We start from the raw sequence: 16,434 nt of genomic DNA, 5'->3' as shown, positions 1-16,434 counted from the left end.
TGAAACAAGCAAGGTGTTGGACAAAAAGCATGGATGCTTAAGGCAGGTCTAGACTGGTGCTGCTCAACAAAAATAAGGTAATCCACATTTGCAATGTAAAATTTCCTCATAGCTACATTAGGAAAGTAGAAGCAACACATGAAGTTGTCATAACATTTTATTTATCCAAATATATCCAAAATATTATGTTTAACATGTGATTCATATAAAGTTAGTGAGATATTTTACATTCTTTTTCTCATTCTCAGTCCTCAAAATCTAGTGTGTGTATTTCACACTTATATCACATCTCAATTCGGACTAGCCACTTTCCAATAAAGCTCAGCAGGCCCCGCGGGGTGGCTCACGCCTGTAATTCCAGTGCTCTGGGAGGCTGAGGCAGGTGGATCGCTTGAGGAGTTCGAGACCAGCCTGGGCAACATGAGGAGACCCCGTTTCTACAAAGCAAAACAAAAACCAAAAAAATTAGTGATGCGAACCTTCGGTCTCAGCTACTCAGGAGGCTGAGGTGGGAGGATCGCTTGAGCCCAGGAGTTCCAGGCTGCAGCGAACTACGATAGCGCCACTGCACTCCAGCCTGGGCGATAACGTGAGGCCTTGTCTCCAAAAATAAAAATACAACAACAACAAAAAATCCCAGAAGTGCTCAGCAGCCACATGTGGCTAGTGGCCACCTCCCGCGAAGCAGCCCGGCCACTCACCTCCTACCACCTTTTACCTATTTCTCCTTCTCCGCAGGCCTCCCTAGCACTACCAGTTGTCTTGTTGGCGAGTCCTTTGTGACTCCCACTATACAAGCCCCTCAAGGCCAGGCTTCGCCCTGAACGGTGCCTGGGCGGAGCAGACGCTCCATCAACGCTGTCCCCGCCTGAGTCCACGTCCAGGGGATCCGCAGGCGCCGTACCCTGCTTCCACGCGCCGGGGCCGCCCCTCGCCCGGCCTCCCGCAGGCCCACCCCTCGCCAGGCCCAGGCCCATCCCCGGGCTGTTCGCTGGAAATCGTGGACGTGACTGGGAGGAGCCTGCCCGCCCCGGCTCGCTGCGCCGCGCGCACAGGGCCCGCGCCAGCGACCATGGCGGAGCCCACAGTGTGCTCCTTCCTCACCAAGGTGCTGTGCGCCCACGGCGGCCGCATGTTCCTGAAGGACCTGCGCGGCCACGTGGAGCTGTCGGAGGCCAGGCTCCGGGACGTGCTGCAGCGCGCCGGGCCCGAGCGTTTCCTGCTGCAGGAGGTGGAGACGCAGGAGGGCCTCGGGGACGCGGAGGCCGAGGCGGCGGCCGGCGCGGTGGGCGGTGGCGGCACCTCCGCCTGGAGGGTGGTGGCCGTGTCCTCTGTGCGCCTCTGCGCCCGCTACCAGCGCGGCGAGTGCCAGGCCTGCGACCAGCTGCACTTCTGCCGCCGGCACATGCTGGGCAAGTGCCCCAACCGGGACTGCTGGTGAGAAGGCGGCGGCGGGCGGGGACTGTGGGCGCTGGCCGCGGGCCTGGCCGTCCTGCTGGAAGCGGGAGCGACGGGAAGGGGGGCTTCGTCCTGCCCCGGGCCGGGGACGCGGGGCTGGACGACCCCCTCCCGCAGGCCTTTCCTGGGCGTCCTCCCCCGCGCTTCCAGCAGCTGGGCGGAAAGGCGCGAAGGTCCTCTCCATGGAGACGTCTCAACCGCCCACGCCAGAAAAGTTGCTGCCCCCGCCCGCCCCCCCGGATCCTGCGCGACGCGGCCGGGTTAAATCCGGACTGGGACTTCGGAGCTCACTTATTCTGGTGATATTTGGCGGGAGGTGGGGGGCGTGGGGCGTCTGAGGATCCCATGAGATCCCTGGACCCTTTAGCCGGAAATCGCTGCTCCCCCATATCCACACACTTGTGCAGAAGCGGGTCTGCGCCCTCTAGGTTTAACAGCGCTGAGCCAGTCTCACCCCAGGAAACAGGGCTGGATGGCTTGGGTGAGGCCCTGTGGTTCCTGACTGCCAGAGCTGGGGTTCGGGGCTGCCTCCTGACCCCAGGCTGTGCTTCACAGCCCCGAATTTTCCTTGGTTGTCTCTAGCCACACACCCCGCCAAAGCGGTGCTGGGGATAGGGGCGCTTTCTTTTTAACGTTGGTGGACTGTGGCAGCTGTTGCCGGGGAGAAGGCCAGGTGCAGTCGCCTACGGAACAGATGTGCATCCTCAGGCGAGGTGGGCGACCCTTGGCTTCAAAGCATCCCTACTGAAAATTCAAATGACCCTGGGAGAGGAGTTCCTTCAACCCAATTTTCTTATTTTCCATCAGTGCTTATTAGGCCATACTATCCCCGGTTTCATGAAAATTACTCAACTTCACATGTATTAAATACATTGAAAGCTGCTCAAGGCAAGGAATTGGACAGACTGGTCCTTCTTCACCTGGGCATCTGACCGAGGGCTTTGTTCTTTTAGGTCTACCTGTACCCTTTCCCATGATATCCACACACCTGTCAACATGCAGGTCCTGAAAAGCCATGGACTTTTTGGTCTCAATGAAAACCAGCTTCGGATCCTGCTTTTGCAGAATGACCCCTGTCTTTTACCAGAGGTGAGTCACCAAGGAGTCACCCTCATGTCACATTTGCTACAAGTACTTTCCCCATTTATTTTTCTTTTGGCTTTACATATTAATTTTAATTGCCTTCGAAGCAACATGATTCAGTTTCAAATGCTTTAAAGGTACCCTTTATAATTGCTATCATGGCGAAATAGTACGTTTGTTTCAGTTTAGCCATACACAAAGAAGTTTTAAAAACAAAATAGTACAAATCCCAAGAGAAAATTGGAACATCAATTAAGACCACCAATTAAAAGCAAGATTTTCTAATCTAGCACAGTGATGCTATCATAGACACCTCCACTTGGCCAGAAGAGGGATGGGAAGAAGGGGAGATGTTGAGAAAACAGAGGATAGTTCATAATTGTGGCCTGATTTTAACTCTAATGCATTTCAGCGTCTAGAAAGGAAGATAGCCACAAGACTAGAGGTAGGAGCTGGAGCCTTTGGTGCAGGTGGCAGAGGCTGCTCTCAAGGCAGCAGAATCTGTACCCAGAAGGCAGTCCTGGAGTTGATCTCAGGAACAAGCAGGTTTCTTCCTGACATGCATAACCTGTTTCATTTCTTCGAGCACTGAAGCCAAGTCTGGTATGTCACGGTTGTGAGCCAGAGGCATTCCAACCAACCATGTTGCCCAAAGTAGATGCAAGCAGTAGCTGAAGCAGGTTATTGGCAGGAAGGGAGAGGAGGGTGGCTGCACCTATGAGGCTGGGTCCAGTCCTTCCTGTCTCAGAGAGAAGGCGTGGTGCCGCTGCTATTTGCCTTTTAATTTTATAGTACTTTTTGATTTATAGAAGTTTAGTGTTTTTATTTTGTCAAATCTATCGAATGTTTTTTTGGTATGCCCTTTTTTAGGATGTATCTTGGGCCCAGCCTCACCTTGTCATATTAGACTACTTCAGTGTTTTGTGAGCAGCTGATGGGTTGGCTGCACTTACAACAGGAGCCTCCCCTGTGCCTCCACTTGTCCCCATCACCTGGGACTGGAAGTAGGTGACATGTGGCACAAAACGTGATCATGTGGGCAGCAGGGACTGTGGAAAAACACAGTGCATGAGGCAAGAATGGTGCCTCACATCTCTTGTATGAAATGCCTGATGATTGCTTTTACCACTCTCTCAATAAAAAAGACAATAGACAGGTAAAGTTTCATGCTGGTGCATTGATGGACAAATTTCTAGAAAAATACAGCTTGTCAAAATGGATTCAAGAAGAAACGGAAAGCCAAAATAGTGTCATAAAAATTTTTAAAATAAAAGCATTAAACAAACCTCAAAGCATTAGTTAGAAGGCTTGCACAAGAAAACATCAGACTTATATAGTTTTTTTTTTTTTGAGACAGGGTCTTACTCTCTCACACAGGCTGGAAGTACCTCGGCTCACTGTAGCCTCTGCCTCCTGAGTTCAAGTGATTCTCCCACCTCAGTCTCCTGAATAGTTGGGACTACAGGCACGTGCCACCATGCCCAGCTAATTTTTGTACTTTTTGGTAGAGATAGCGTTTCACCATGTTGGCCGGGCTGGTCTTATATGCCTGACCTCAAGTGATCCCTCTGCCTCAGCCTCCTAAAGTGCTGGGATTACAGGCGTGAGCCACTGCGCCTGGCCAGGCTTATATAGTTTCATAGTTGAATTCTATCAAATTTTTGTCTTTATTGAAGTGTAGTTGACAAATAAAAATTTTATATTTACAGTGTACAATGTGGTGTTTTAATATATTTACATTGTGAATTGATTGCAATGATTAAGCTAATTAGCATACCATTACTTTACATGGCTATTATTTTTTGGGTGTGGTAAGGACAGCAATTTTCAGGTATACAGTATGTTATTTTTTTAAATTTTATTTTATTTTTTATTTATTTTATTTTATTTTTATTTTTATTTTATTTTATTTATTTCTTTTTTTTTGAGATGGAGTCTCACTCTATCACCCAGGCTGGAGTGCAGTGGTGAGGTCTCGGCTCACTGCAAGCTCTGCTCCCGGGTTCATGCCATTCTTCTGCCTCAGCCTCCCGACAGGCGCCCACCATGATGCCCAGCTAATTTTTTGTATTTTGTTTAGTAGAGATGGGGTTTCACCTTGTTAGCCAGGATGGTCTCGATCTCCTGACCTCGTGATCCGCCCACCTCAGCCTCCCAGAGTGCTGGGATTATAGGTGTGAGCCACTGTGCCTGGCCATTATGTTATTATTAACTACAGTCACCTTGCCGTACAGTGGATTTCCAGAAATTCATCCTGTTTAATTGAAACTTTGTTCCCTTCGACCTACATATCCCTATTCTCCTTAATTTTAACAAATCTATAAGGAACAGGCTGTTCCTTATATTTGGAGTAGGTGTAGGATCTATTTTCCATGATCTCCAATTCTTGAACCACTATCATACTAATTAAAGTAGTTTATCTTTCATTTTTAAAGTTTATTTACTCTTTTAGAGACATGGTCTCGCTGTGTCACCCAGGCTGGAGTGCAGAGACAGGGTTTTGCCATGTTGCCCAGGCTGGTCATAGCTCACTGCAACCTCGATCTCCTGGGCTCAAGCAATCCTCGCACTTCAGCCTCTCGAGTAGCTGGGACTGCAGGTGTACACCACCGCACCCAGCTACTTTTTTTTGTTTTGTTTTTTTGAGATGGAATCTTGCTCTATCGCCCAGGCTGGAGTGCAGTGGTGTGATCTCAGCTCACTGCAATCTCCACCTCCCTGGTTCAAGCGATTCTCCTGCCTCAGCCTCCCAAGTAGCTGGGATTGCAGGCGCTTGCCACCATACCCAGCTAGTTTTTTGTATTTTGAGTAGAGATGGGGTTTGTCATTTTGGCCAGGCTGGCCTTGAACTCTTGACCTCAAGTGATCCGCCCACCTTGGCCTCCCAAAGTGCTGGGATAACAGGCGTGAGCCATAGCGCCTGGCCCCCAGATACTTTTTTTTGTTTTTGTTTGTTTGTTTTGTAGACAGAGTCTTGCTCTGTCGCCCAGACTGGAGTGCAGTGGCGTGATCTTAGCTCATTGCCACCTCTGCCTCCCAGGTTCAAGCAATTCTCGTGCCTCAGCCTCCCTAGTAGCTGGGACTGCAAGCAAGTGCCACCATGCCTAGTTAATTCGTTGTGTTTTTAGTAGAGACAGGGTTTCACCATGTTGCTCAGGCTGATCTCAAACTCCTGAGCTCAGGCAATCCGCCTGCCTTGGCCTCCCACAGTGTTAGGATTACAGGCATGAGCCACTGTGCCCAGTCCACTTTTTAAATTTTTCTGTAGAGACAGAGTCTTGCTGTGTTGCCTAGGCTGGTCTTGAACTCCTTGGCTCAAGCAATTTGCCATCCTTGGTCTCCCAAAGTGCTAGGAGTACAGCCATGAGCCACTGTGCCTGTCTAATTTTGTTTGTTTGTTTAATCAGTTCATGTCTCCTTTTCCAGATAAGCTTTAGAATCACTTAAATTCCTAAAACTATTTTAAAGGAATTCTTTGAGAAGGGTAGAAATTGCATTAAAGTTACGAATTTATTTTAGAAAATTGGCATCACAATTATAAATAGGATGCTATTTCATTTTAAACCAGGTCATCTGTGTCTTGTAGGATTTCCCATATTTTAGATTTGACTGATTACATTCCTGTAGTACTATTGAACATGTTCCTGTATCCCTCAAATTTTGATCAGATTTAGGATTTATTTCACTTTATTTAATTAATTAATTAATTAATTAATTATTATTATTTTTTGAGATGGAGACTCACTCTGTCGTCCAGCCTGGAGTGCAGTGGCGTGATCTCGGCTCACTGCAACCTCTGCCACCCAGGTTAAGCAATTCTGCCTCAGCCTCCCAAGCAGCTGGGATTACAGGTGCCACCATGACTGGCTAATTTTTGTATTTTTGGTAGAGACGGGGTTTCACCATATTGGCCAGGCTGGTCTTGAACTCCTGACCTTTTGATCCACCCACCTTGGCCTCCCAAAGTGCTAGGATTACAGGTGTGAGCCACCACACCGGGCCTTATTTATTTTTGAAATGGAGTCTCGCTCTGTCGCCCAGGCTGGAGTGCAGTGGCGCAATCTCAGCTCACTGCAACCTCCGCCTCTATTTTATTTTATTTTTAAGACGGAGTCTCGCTGTGTTGCCCAGGCTGGAGTGCAATGGCACAATCTTGGCTCACTGCAACCTCCACCTCCCCGGTTCATGTAATTCTTCTGCCTCAGCCTCCCCAGTAGCTGGAATTACAGGCGTGTGCCATCATGCCTGGCTAACTTTTGTATTTTTAATAGAGTCAGGGTTTCACCGTGTTGGCCAGGCTGTTATGAACTCCTGACCTCAGGTGATCCTTCTGCCTTGGCCTCCCAAAGTGCTGGGATTACAGGTGTGAGGCACCGCGCCCAGCCAGGATTTATTTTATAGCAAGAGTTTTTTTACGTGTGCAGCATTGTTAGGGTGACTCAGCAGCCCATTTGCCTGGGACTGAGGGGTTGCCGGGGATGTCAGACTTTCATAGTAAAACCTGGACAGTTCTATTTCTGTTGCATCACATCAGGAGGCATATAATGTCATCTTTGTGTGAGCGGCCAAGACTGATGCGTGGTTTCAGGGTCAACAGCCTGATCCCATCATTATAAAGTTCCCTATCAATGTGGTCTTGGTGTGTCTGGGATAGACCCAGTTTATATTAGTTGTCCCAGTGTGATTATTAATAGTGCTCCCTTGCAGCCTAAAAATGCCCTCGTCTGGATCATAAATTAGATCTTTGTGCCACCCGTTGAAACTGGTTTCCCTGGAAGCAGAGCCTGAGATAGAGACCCAGGTATGTGTGATTTTTTTGAGGGCGGGCTTTTCAGGAAAACCCAGTGTGGGAGAGAGGGAAGCAGGGTCTAAGGAAGGAAAAGCTACAAGCACATAAGGTCTGGCCTTGACTTCATTCATGGGGAGCTGTGGAACAAAGATCACGTTGAGTCTAGCTTTGAGGCACTCTAGCATTTTTTTAGCTTTATCTAAGTCATTCATTGGCTACAGGCTTTGGGGACAGAGGGCAGTTCAGCTGAGAGTGTAAAGTAAGAGGGGGCAGCTGTGAGTCACAAGCAGCCAGTGCCCACAGCAGCGGGAGTATGGTTAGCACCACTACACTATCATCAGGCTTTCCCCCAAAGATTTTAACAGCCACTGGTGATCAGAAGATGTCATTTAGTCTTCAGTTTAGCTAGAGAAGCTATAGTCTTTTGGCTTAAAAGATAGAGTGAAAACTAATATTGGCCGGGTGTGGTGGCTCACACCTGTAATCCCAGCACTTTTGAGAGGCTGAGGTGGGCAGATCACCTGAGGTGAGGAGTTGGAGACCAGCCTGGCCAACATGGTGAAACCCCGTCTCTTCTAAAAATACAAAAATTAGCTGGCTGTGGTGGTGAACGCCTGTATTCTCAGCTACTCGGGAGGCTGAGGCAGGAGAATTGCTTGAACGCGGGAGATGGAGGTTGCAGTGAGCCAAGATGGTGCCACTGTACTCCAGCCTGGGTGACAGAGCGAGACTCCATCTCCCCGCTGCCAAAAAAAAAAGAAAAACTAATATTTCAGGTGTTCCCTCATTTCTGTACCAGGTCTGTTTGCTCTACAACAAAGGGGAAGCCCTGTATGGCTACTGCAACCTCAAGGATAAATGCAACAAGTTTCATGTGTGCAAATCCTTTGTGAAAGGAGAATGCAAACTTCAGACCTGCAAACGGTCCCATCAGCTTATCCATGCTGCATCTTTGAAGCTGCTACAGGACCAAGGACTGAATATTCCAAGTGTTGTTAATTTTCAGATAATCTCCACCTACAAGCATATGAAGCTGCACAAGATGCTTGAAAATACAGGTAGGAATATCCAAGAAGGACAGAGAAGTATCAGCGATATGGTTTTGCGATGCTTCACTGTGAAGAAGTAAGAACAGTGACATGAAAGTGAGTCTGGGGGCAAAGCAGTTCCTATGTTAATTTCATCTTTGTTCTTGGGAAAGTTTAGAACAGGCAACATTGTATTGTATAGAACGGTGATCCTAACCAAAGGAGAGAAGGGATGGAGTTTATCTTTAGCACTGTCACTGCTAGCTACTAGAATCTACCCAAGTGATTGAACAGTAGCTTGTTGGTAAATTGGATGTCAGGAAGTAGGTAGAACAGGTTTTGTTTTTGTTTTTTTTTTTGAGACAGAGTCTCAGTCTGTCGCCCAGGCTAGAGTGCAGTGGCGCGATCGGGGCTCACTGCATCCTCTGCCTCCCGGGTTCAAGCGATTCTTCTGCCTCAGCCTCCCGAGTAGCTGAGACTACAGGCATGCGCCACCATGCCCAGCTAATTTTTGTATTCTTAGTCGAGGCGGGGTTTCACCATGTTGGCCAGGATGGTCTCAATCTCTTGACCTCATGATCTGCCTGCCTTGGCCTCCCAAAGTGCTGGGATTTCAGGCATGAGCCACACGCCCGGCCTAGTAGAACAGTTTTAATGGCATAGTTAGGAAAAAGAGGAAGGAGATGGGCCGGTGAGTGGAAAAGTAAGATTAATGTAGGGATGGCTTTCTTGTCATAAATATAATTTTTGGCTTTGTTAATTTTTAAGTAATTTTAATGACATTACAGAACAATTTGGAAAATAGCAACTGGAAATGAAAATTGTATATGATTTTGCTCACTCTAATCTACTATACTTGTTACAATTTTATTATAGGCCCTTCAGTTCTGTTATATACAAACACGAATCCAATTGTGCTCAAAGTATATGTTAATTTAATATCTTAAATTTCTACTTTATACAACATCATATTTTCCCATATTGCTAGGAATATTGCATATTCCCATTATAAATATATTCCCATAGTCTTTCAGTAATTTTTATTGTTGTTTTTGAAGACAGGATCTTGCTCTGTTGCCTAGGCTGGAGTACAGTGGCACAGTCATGACTCACTGCAGCCTCGAACTCCTGGGCTCAAGTGATCTTTCTGCTCAGCCTCCCTGGTAGCTGGGACTGCAGGCACATGCCACCATGTCCAGCTATTTTTTAAAATTTTTCTTTTGTAGGGACAAGGTTTTGCTATGTTGACCAGGCTGGTTTTGAACTCCTGGGCTCAAGCAGTCCTCCAGCCCTGGCCTCCCAAAGTGTTGGGATGACAGGCGTGAGCCACTGCACCTGGCCTTTAGTAGTTTTTTAGTCTACAAAGTGTGGTTTGGTGTTCTTTTAATTCTAATGCATTCAGTTACTTATTCTGTTACATTTGCTGGTACCTAGAAATCAGTGGGTGGTAGGCTTAGGAGAATTGCTGTTGGGAAAGGTAAATCACCAAAGGCGGAGTTGCTAAGCTTTCACCATCGAGTTTTCATGTGTTGGGATGTTAGTGTCAGACGTAGTGAGTGCAGACAGGGAGGGCTCTGCATATACCAGTGTCGGGCTGTTTAGGGAACTGTGAATGGTGGCAGGTACCTTCTACCCTATGCTGTGTCTAGGGCCTGTCATTGTCTTCATCTGGTTTCGTTTGGTGAGTCTCTCCTGTGACATAGTGACTTTCCGCTTGCTCTCTCTCTCTCTATTTTTTATACACACACACATACAATTTTTTAAAATCCAGAAGACATGAACTCTCCAAATCCATGTGTTGGGAGTCTTGTCTGATGGCTGGTTAGCTGGGCTGTTGCTCCCAACGTAAAATGAAACTTGGGGTATCGTAGGAAAACTTATCCCTTTCCTCTTTGTAGATAATTCATCACCTTCGACTGAGCATTCACAAGGCCTTGAGAAGCAAGGAGTGCACGCAGCTGGAGCTGCAGAAGCTGGTCCTCTGGCTTCTGTCCCTGCTCAGTCGGCCAAGAAGCCCTGCCCAGGTAAACCTTAAAGGGGGTCAGTGAACTAAGAAGAAGCTTGTCCAGCTTGGAAGATCTGAAAACAAGCCTTCTGTTTAGCTTTAATTTGTAACCATTCATTCATTTAATGATAGATTTGTAATGGTCATAATAATATCTACCTCACAGTGTCTTGCGAGAAGTAAAGAAGATGGAAAAGGAGAAAATGTCCTTTTGGAAGAATACATTTGGGCATGGGTGGTTGGGGATGGGGTGGGACATTGAACAGGCAAAGAGAGGCTAAAATTGAGTGCAGATGGGGCTAGTCCAGGGCAAGTGCTGAAGATGGCAGCTGCTATCTGCAGCTCCTAGGTGCTTTCCTCAGGCTGGGTAGATGGAGCTCTGCTGACTTCTGTGGTCCACCATTGTTTTTCTATCAATTTATATTGTGGCAATCCTAGAGTACTTTGCACTCATTTTTTTTTTTCACTTAATATTGTCTCATAAGCATCTTTCTATATTTGTTCACATCGTACATAATCATGTTTTTGCACAGATACATTAATATTATCATAGTTTGTTTAACTACTTGGCTTTTTCTAACAGTTTTTTTTTTTGAGATGGTCTTGCTCTGTTGCCCAGGCTGGAGTGCAGTGACGTGATCTCGGCTCACTGCAGCCTTGACTTCCTGGGCTCAAGTGATCATCCCACCTCAGCCTCCTGAGTAGCTGGGACTACAGGTATGCACCACGACCAGCTAATTTTTTGTATTTTTTTTTTGTAGAGAGGGTATTTTGCCATGTTGCCCAGGCTAGTCTTGAACTCCTGGGCTCAAGCGATCTGCCTGCTTCAGCCTCCCAGAGTGCTAGGATTACAGGCATGAGCCACTGCACCCAGCCTCTTAACAAATTTTGAATATAACTCCTGTCTTAAAATCTGCAGAATATTGAATTTTTCCAGCTATTTTTTACTTTTGCTTAGCTTATAGATGCTAAAGGATACTGTCATTTGCATTTTTAAAAATATATGTATGAGTGAATAGTTTTCTGGTGTCTGCTTTCTGATTGTTCTTATTTTTTCATTTTATATTTGGCCTTTTATTAATGGGGCCCTCATCTATGCTGATGTGGGACAGCCTTTAACGAGGCCTCAAATTTTCATGAAAGGACCTCAGCAATACTGTGCTTGGATGATATTCAATTTTTGTAGGTCCATCCTCAGCCAGTAGTACAGAGTATATAACCTTTGGGTTCTCTCCAGAGACTTCTACCTCACTCTGTCTACTCTTTTTTTTTTTTTTGGAGACAGAGTTTCACTCTTGTTGCCCAGGCCGGAGTGCAATGGCGCGATCTCATCTCACCATAACCTCCGCCTCCTGGGTTCAAGTGGTTCTCCTGCCTCAGCCTCCCAAGTAGCTGAGGTTACAGGCATGAGCCACCACGCCCAGTTAATTATGTATTTTTAGTAGAGACGGGGTTTCACCATGTTGGCCAGGCTGGTCTCAAACTCCTGACCTCAGGTGATCTGCCTGCCTCGGCCTCCCAAACTGCTGGGATTACAGGTGTGAGACTCTGTCTACTCTTCATTTCTTGCTGAGCTTTTACCAAAGCCCAGTCACAATAGTTTGAAGGATGAGCAGTATATCCACTCCTTTAAATTGTATCCATTCTTCCTGTGGCTCAGGATGGACCATCAGAAGTCTGTATACCTCACCCACTTCATGTTCCCTTTCCCCTTTCTCCCTTCTCCCTTCCTCCCTGCTCTCCACCTACCCAGCTGTGTTCATTGAGTTACATTTCAGTATTTTGTGGTTTATTTTCATCAAGGGGTACCACAAGAAGCAGCTTTATGCAATTAATTTTTTTGTTCTGTTTATTGTAGTCATCCTCAAATGTCACTGTGTAAAGTGTTGTTGTTGTTTTTAAATTCAACTGTCCTGCAGTAACATAACATTTGAGAAACAGAGACAATGTAATAAGTTTTCATAAAGCTAAATTAATGTAGAGAAATTTTTATCATGAAATGCTATCTTTTCAATTGAGGGAAAAAGCAAAAATGTCCTTTTTAAAGTGAGAAATGGCTGTGTTTTCTCCTAATGGATAATAAGAGTCATGCCACTTGTGTTGAGCTTTTTACTTTCATTGTCAACGATATTTCTGAAAGCCCTTATGCTCTGCATATTTTGTTTCTTTTTTTCTAGTCCAGATTTCTCCTGGTGATAATTAAAAAAATTTTTACATTTAATTATTACTATTATTTACACTTACCATTTTACTATGTATATTTTTGTAGTAAGCTATCTTAAATCTTTAATGGAAACAGTGTAGGGTATAAATGCATTTCCTTTACATTGAGAGACTTGCTGGACCTTTACTTGTTTATGTTCTGTTTTTATATCTTATCATTATGCTTTTATATGTGATGTTATTGGTCCTCTGTCATCTTTGTTGCAGTATTTTATTCAATTCTATAATAGTCTACTTTAATCTTAGTTTTGTTGGTATTCATTCTGTAAAATATTTTATATAACCATGCCTTTCTCTGATTTTCACTCATGATTAAGCTGTTAGAAAGTTATCGCATTATAGTTGGAAAAGAGTTTTCTTTGGTAATTTATCGGGGTTTTTGATGTCAAGTCGCATGTCTGTAGACTCTACAAATTCAATGTATTCTAAATTGAATTATGAATTTTCCTTTAGTCTTGTTCCTGCTTTTATTTCCTTATTTTTGAATGTCACCACTATCTACCTAATGACATAGACAAAAAGCTGTAAATTGTCCTATACTTTTTTTTCTCCTTGTTCCCTTTGTCAAATTGGTTACCCAGTGTTGGAGAGTTTCTTCCCCTCAAAAACCTTTCAAATATTTATCCTTCTCTGCCCCTTTCTTTCCACCCTGTACATACTGCCTTGTTTCAAACCCTCATCATCTTCCTGCATATATCCTACAGATGCATAAACTCAGTGGTTTTCAAGTCATCTGTTATGGGAGTTTTTGGTAAAAGGTGCCCTGTTCCCACTGCAGTGATGGTAGCCCTGTTTTAATCTTTAATAGAATAAGCGTTTGTGGATTTCACTGGTCTCCTTACCACTCTTCACTTCTCCTGCCTTCCATCTGGCTGCCTGACATTTTGAAAACAAAGCTAATCATATGGCTTTTTTCCTGCTGAAACCTTCCTTGGTCCTCATCATGTAGGGTGGTATTTGTAAACTCAAAACGCCTGCAGGGACTAGAAAGGTGAGTTAAATGGATGAAGTGAACTGGATGCAAGAGCAGTGGGAGAAGGGAGAAGTGCTGTGGCAAACTGTCCCATCTAAAAGGGACGCCTGCCTCTTGTATCCACGTGGGAATGTGGGCCCACTTTGTCATAGTGCCCAGTTTTTTAAAAAGAAGCCAGAAATTCAGATTGTTATGAGAAATGTTCTGATTGAATATTGACTTTAGTCGAGTTTTTAAAATGCAGACCAACATTGTATGTACTTGACCTACTTGGAATTTCTGGAATGTGCTATTTTGTCTTGTGATTCTCTGTAAATGATATTCCCTGTTTTTTTTTTTTTTTTTTTTCTTTTTTCCTTTGAGATGGAGTCTCTGTCGCCCAGGCTGGAGTACAGTGGCATGATCTCAGCTCACTGCAACCTCCGTCTCCCAGGTTCAAGTGATTCTCCTGCCTCAGCCTCCCGAGTAGCTGGGATTATAGGCATGTACCACCATGCCTGGCTAATTTTTGTATTTTTAGTAGAGATGGGGTTTCACCATGTTGGCCAGGCTGGTCTTGAACTCCTCACCTCAAGTGATCCACCCACCTCGCCCTCCCAAAGTGTTAGTATTATAGGCGTGAGCCACTGCACTCAGCCTGATGTTCCCTCTTTTATAAGTGCCATTCCTTCTTCCTACCTCACAACCTAGCAAAATTGGATTCTTCAAAACGCCAGGTTGGCCTTTCTTGACTCCAAAAGAGGTGACTCTTGTAGCATTCTTACAGGCCTAACATAGCACTTACTTTATGTTGCAATGCTGTGTGCAATGCTGTGTTTTTTTACTCACTAGCTCTGAGCAAAACATTATTTATTCTTGGTAATTGTAACACTTGGTAGTGAAGACATATTTTTTGCCATATAATGGATTATACTTTGTATTTGAATCCATGTGAATCAGTAGCATATTGGTCTTCATTGTTTTTCCTCCTTCTCCGACGTTTTTTTGAGACAGGGTCTCACTCTGTTGCCCAGGCTGGAGTGCAGGGCACAATTACAGCTCCCTGCAGCCTTGATTTCTCAGGCTCAAGCCATCCTCTTGCCTCAGCTTCCCTAGTAGCCGGGACTATAGGTGCATGCCACCATACTCAGCTAATCTTTTTAGGTTTTTAGTAGAGACAAGGTCTCACTATGTTGCCCAGGCTGGTCTTGAACTCCTAAGCTCAAGCAGTCCTCCCGCCTTGGCCTCTGAATGTGCTGGGATTACAGGCATGAGCCACTATGCCTAACCATATTTTTTCCAATATTAAAAAATCTTTTTTTCCCCCTAAGGAATGTGTTATATAAGGTCAACATGTTTTTAGTGCTTCAGTTTGACTTGTCTACATCTAAAGTTAACTCTTTAAGGCTTACATTTATGATTATAATTCTTTCCATCGAGGGATTTAGTCTCCATTATTGTCATGTTTCTTGATTTTTTTCATTATACTTGGTTCTTCTTTTTGTCTAGGTTTTATATATACCTTAATTAATTCTTTCTTGGCTGTTTTATATCTATGTTGCTGTCAGCATGGGAATCTCTATTATTAGAAAGCTATTAACTTTTAAAATATGTATCTTTTGGTGATTTTCTTTGTTCTAACAGTTTTAGATGGCCTGTTTGCTCTTTCTAAATATAAAATCATAGGTATTTCTATTTTGTTTTTGTGTTTCATAAAATTGTAATAAGTTTTTTTGATATTTTTTCATTACATATGAAGTTAATTGTTGGTTTTAAACAAATGTTCTTTGTTAGGATAACAGAAATAACATCTTCTATTCTTGTTTGTTGGAAGCTAAAAGCTTGATAAAAGGAATTGGTGTCTTTTGATACAATCAAATTTTTATCACTTAAATTGCCTAATATGATTATAATAAGGGTTTTTGTAATATTAAAACATCCTTAAATTCCTGAGATAAAACTCTACCTGGTTATAGTATATGTTCTTTTAATGTATTATCTTTCCTATTTGCTGTACATCTATACATTCATAAATAAAATTCATTTATATTTTATGTGTGTGTGTAGTAATTTCCTTTTTATTTTTACTGGCATATGGCCAAACTATAAATCTTTTTCTAAATACTGTCTGGAGCTTTTGTAAATTGGTTTGTAATGCCATTTTTATTTAAAAAATAATGTATTATTGTATTTTTAATTACCCTGTTATTATTTAGGAATATTTTCCCAAAATTATTTTTTGAAAATATATCATTGTGGAAATTTTGGAGAGTACAGGAATGTATGAAGGAGGTCATATTAATCATCTCATAATACCACTGTATAATCGCTCTTAATACTGTATTTTTTTCTTTCTTTCTTTTTTTTTTCTTGAGACAGGGTTTCTCTGTGTCACCCAGGATGGAGTGCAGTGGTGCAATCACAGCTCACTGCAGCCTCTGCAGCCTCTGCGTCCTGGGCTCAAGTGATCATCTCACTTCAGCCTCCTGAGTAGCTGGGACTGCATGCATGCATGGGCCATCGCGCCCAGCTAATTTTTTTTTTTTTTTTTTTTTTTTTGGGGAGACAGGGTTTTGTCATGTTGCCCAGGCTGGTCTTAAATTCCAGGACTTAAGCAATCCACCTGCCTCCGAGGTGGAGTCCTGGCTTCCCAAAGTGCTGGGGCTGCAGGTGTGAGCTGCCAGGCCCAGGCTTTTTTCAGTCTTTTTTATGCATATTTCCTTAAATATCGAAGGTATGCTATACAGACAATTTTATGCCATTTGGGATTGATATTATTGTGTAAGCATTTCCCTTTGTAATTGAAAGTATTTACAATTACACATGATGGTTTCATTATATTTTTAAAGTATTATTTAATAATAGTTCTATCGTTGGATATTTATTGTTTGTAACA

General features: G+C 44.1%; 1 protein-coding gene and 1 long non-coding RNA gene across 4 annotated transcripts, besides 4 other annotated features; one reads left to right on the top strand and one right to left on the bottom strand.

Moving 5' to 3' along the window:
* Window positions 1-139: 139 nt before the first annotated feature.
* On the bottom strand, window positions 140-907 carry LOC107986852 (uncharacterized). The gene is made up of 2 exons (XR_007060557.1): window positions 719-907; window positions 140-437 (listed from the first exon to the last, which is right to left on the bottom strand). It is a non-coding gene; the product is annotated as an uncharacterized LOC107986852 (long non-coding RNA).
* Window positions 722-1,641: an enhancer, noted in NCBI's record as "H3K27ac-H3K4me1 hESC enhancer chr7:138720195-138721114 (GRCh37/hg19 assembly coordinates)". NCBI's record gives its function as "activates a minimal SCP1, AML or CMV promoter by ChIP-STARR-seq in naive H9 embryonic stem cells {active_cell/tissue: H9 hESC(naive)}" and the evidence as "EXISTENCE:reporter gene assay evidence [ECO:0000049][PMID:30033119]".
* Window positions 722-1,735: a biological region, named in NCBI's record as "H3K27ac-H3K4me1 hESC enhancer GRCh37_chr7:138720195-138721114".
* Window positions 756-965: a silencer, noted in NCBI's record as "silent region_18692". NCBI's record gives its function as "represses an Ori minimal core promoter by ATAC-STARR-seq in GM12878 lymphoblastoid cells {active_cell/tissue: GM12878}" and the evidence as "EXISTENCE:reporter gene assay evidence [ECO:0000049][PMID:35858748]".
* ZC3HAV1L (ZC3HAV1 like) lies at window positions 1,048-15,592 on the top strand. Of its 3 annotated transcripts, none has more exons than XM_011516688.4 (5): window positions 1,048-1,437; window positions 2,412-2,547; window positions 8,130-8,388; window positions 10,257-10,382; window positions 13,923-15,592. In XM_011516688.4, exons 1-5 carry the CDS (start codon window positions 1,073-1,075, stop codon window positions 14,000-14,002), a joined length of 966 nt encoding a protein of 321 aa, XP_011514990.1. In that variant the 5' UTR covers window positions 1,048-1,072; the 3' UTR covers window positions 14,003-15,592. The 3 variants fall into 3 exon arrangements, with proteins under 3 accessions (XP_011514990.1, NP_542391.2, XP_006716239.1); NM_080660.4 differs by lacking the exon at window positions 13,923-15,592 and adding an exon at window positions 10,530-11,384; XM_006716176.4 differs by lacking the exon at window positions 13,923-15,592 and having other exon boundaries at window positions 8,130-8,475; window positions 10,257-10,346.
* Window positions 1,216-1,735: a silencer, noted in NCBI's record as "silent region_18691". NCBI's record gives its function as "represses an Ori minimal core promoter by ATAC-STARR-seq in GM12878 lymphoblastoid cells {active_cell/tissue: GM12878}" and the evidence as "EXISTENCE:reporter gene assay evidence [ECO:0000049][PMID:35858748]".
* Window positions 15,593-16,434: the final 842 nt, after the last annotated feature.

Source organism: Homo sapiens, chromosome 7, assembly GCF_000001405.40.
Source record: "Homo sapiens chromosome 7, GRCh38.p14 Primary Assembly".
Taxonomy (NCBI): domain Eukaryota; kingdom Metazoa; phylum Chordata; class Mammalia; order Primates; family Hominidae; genus Homo; species Homo sapiens.
The sequence above is the reverse complement of the archived record's forward strand: the minus strand, read 5'-3'. Positions and strand labels throughout refer to the sequence as shown.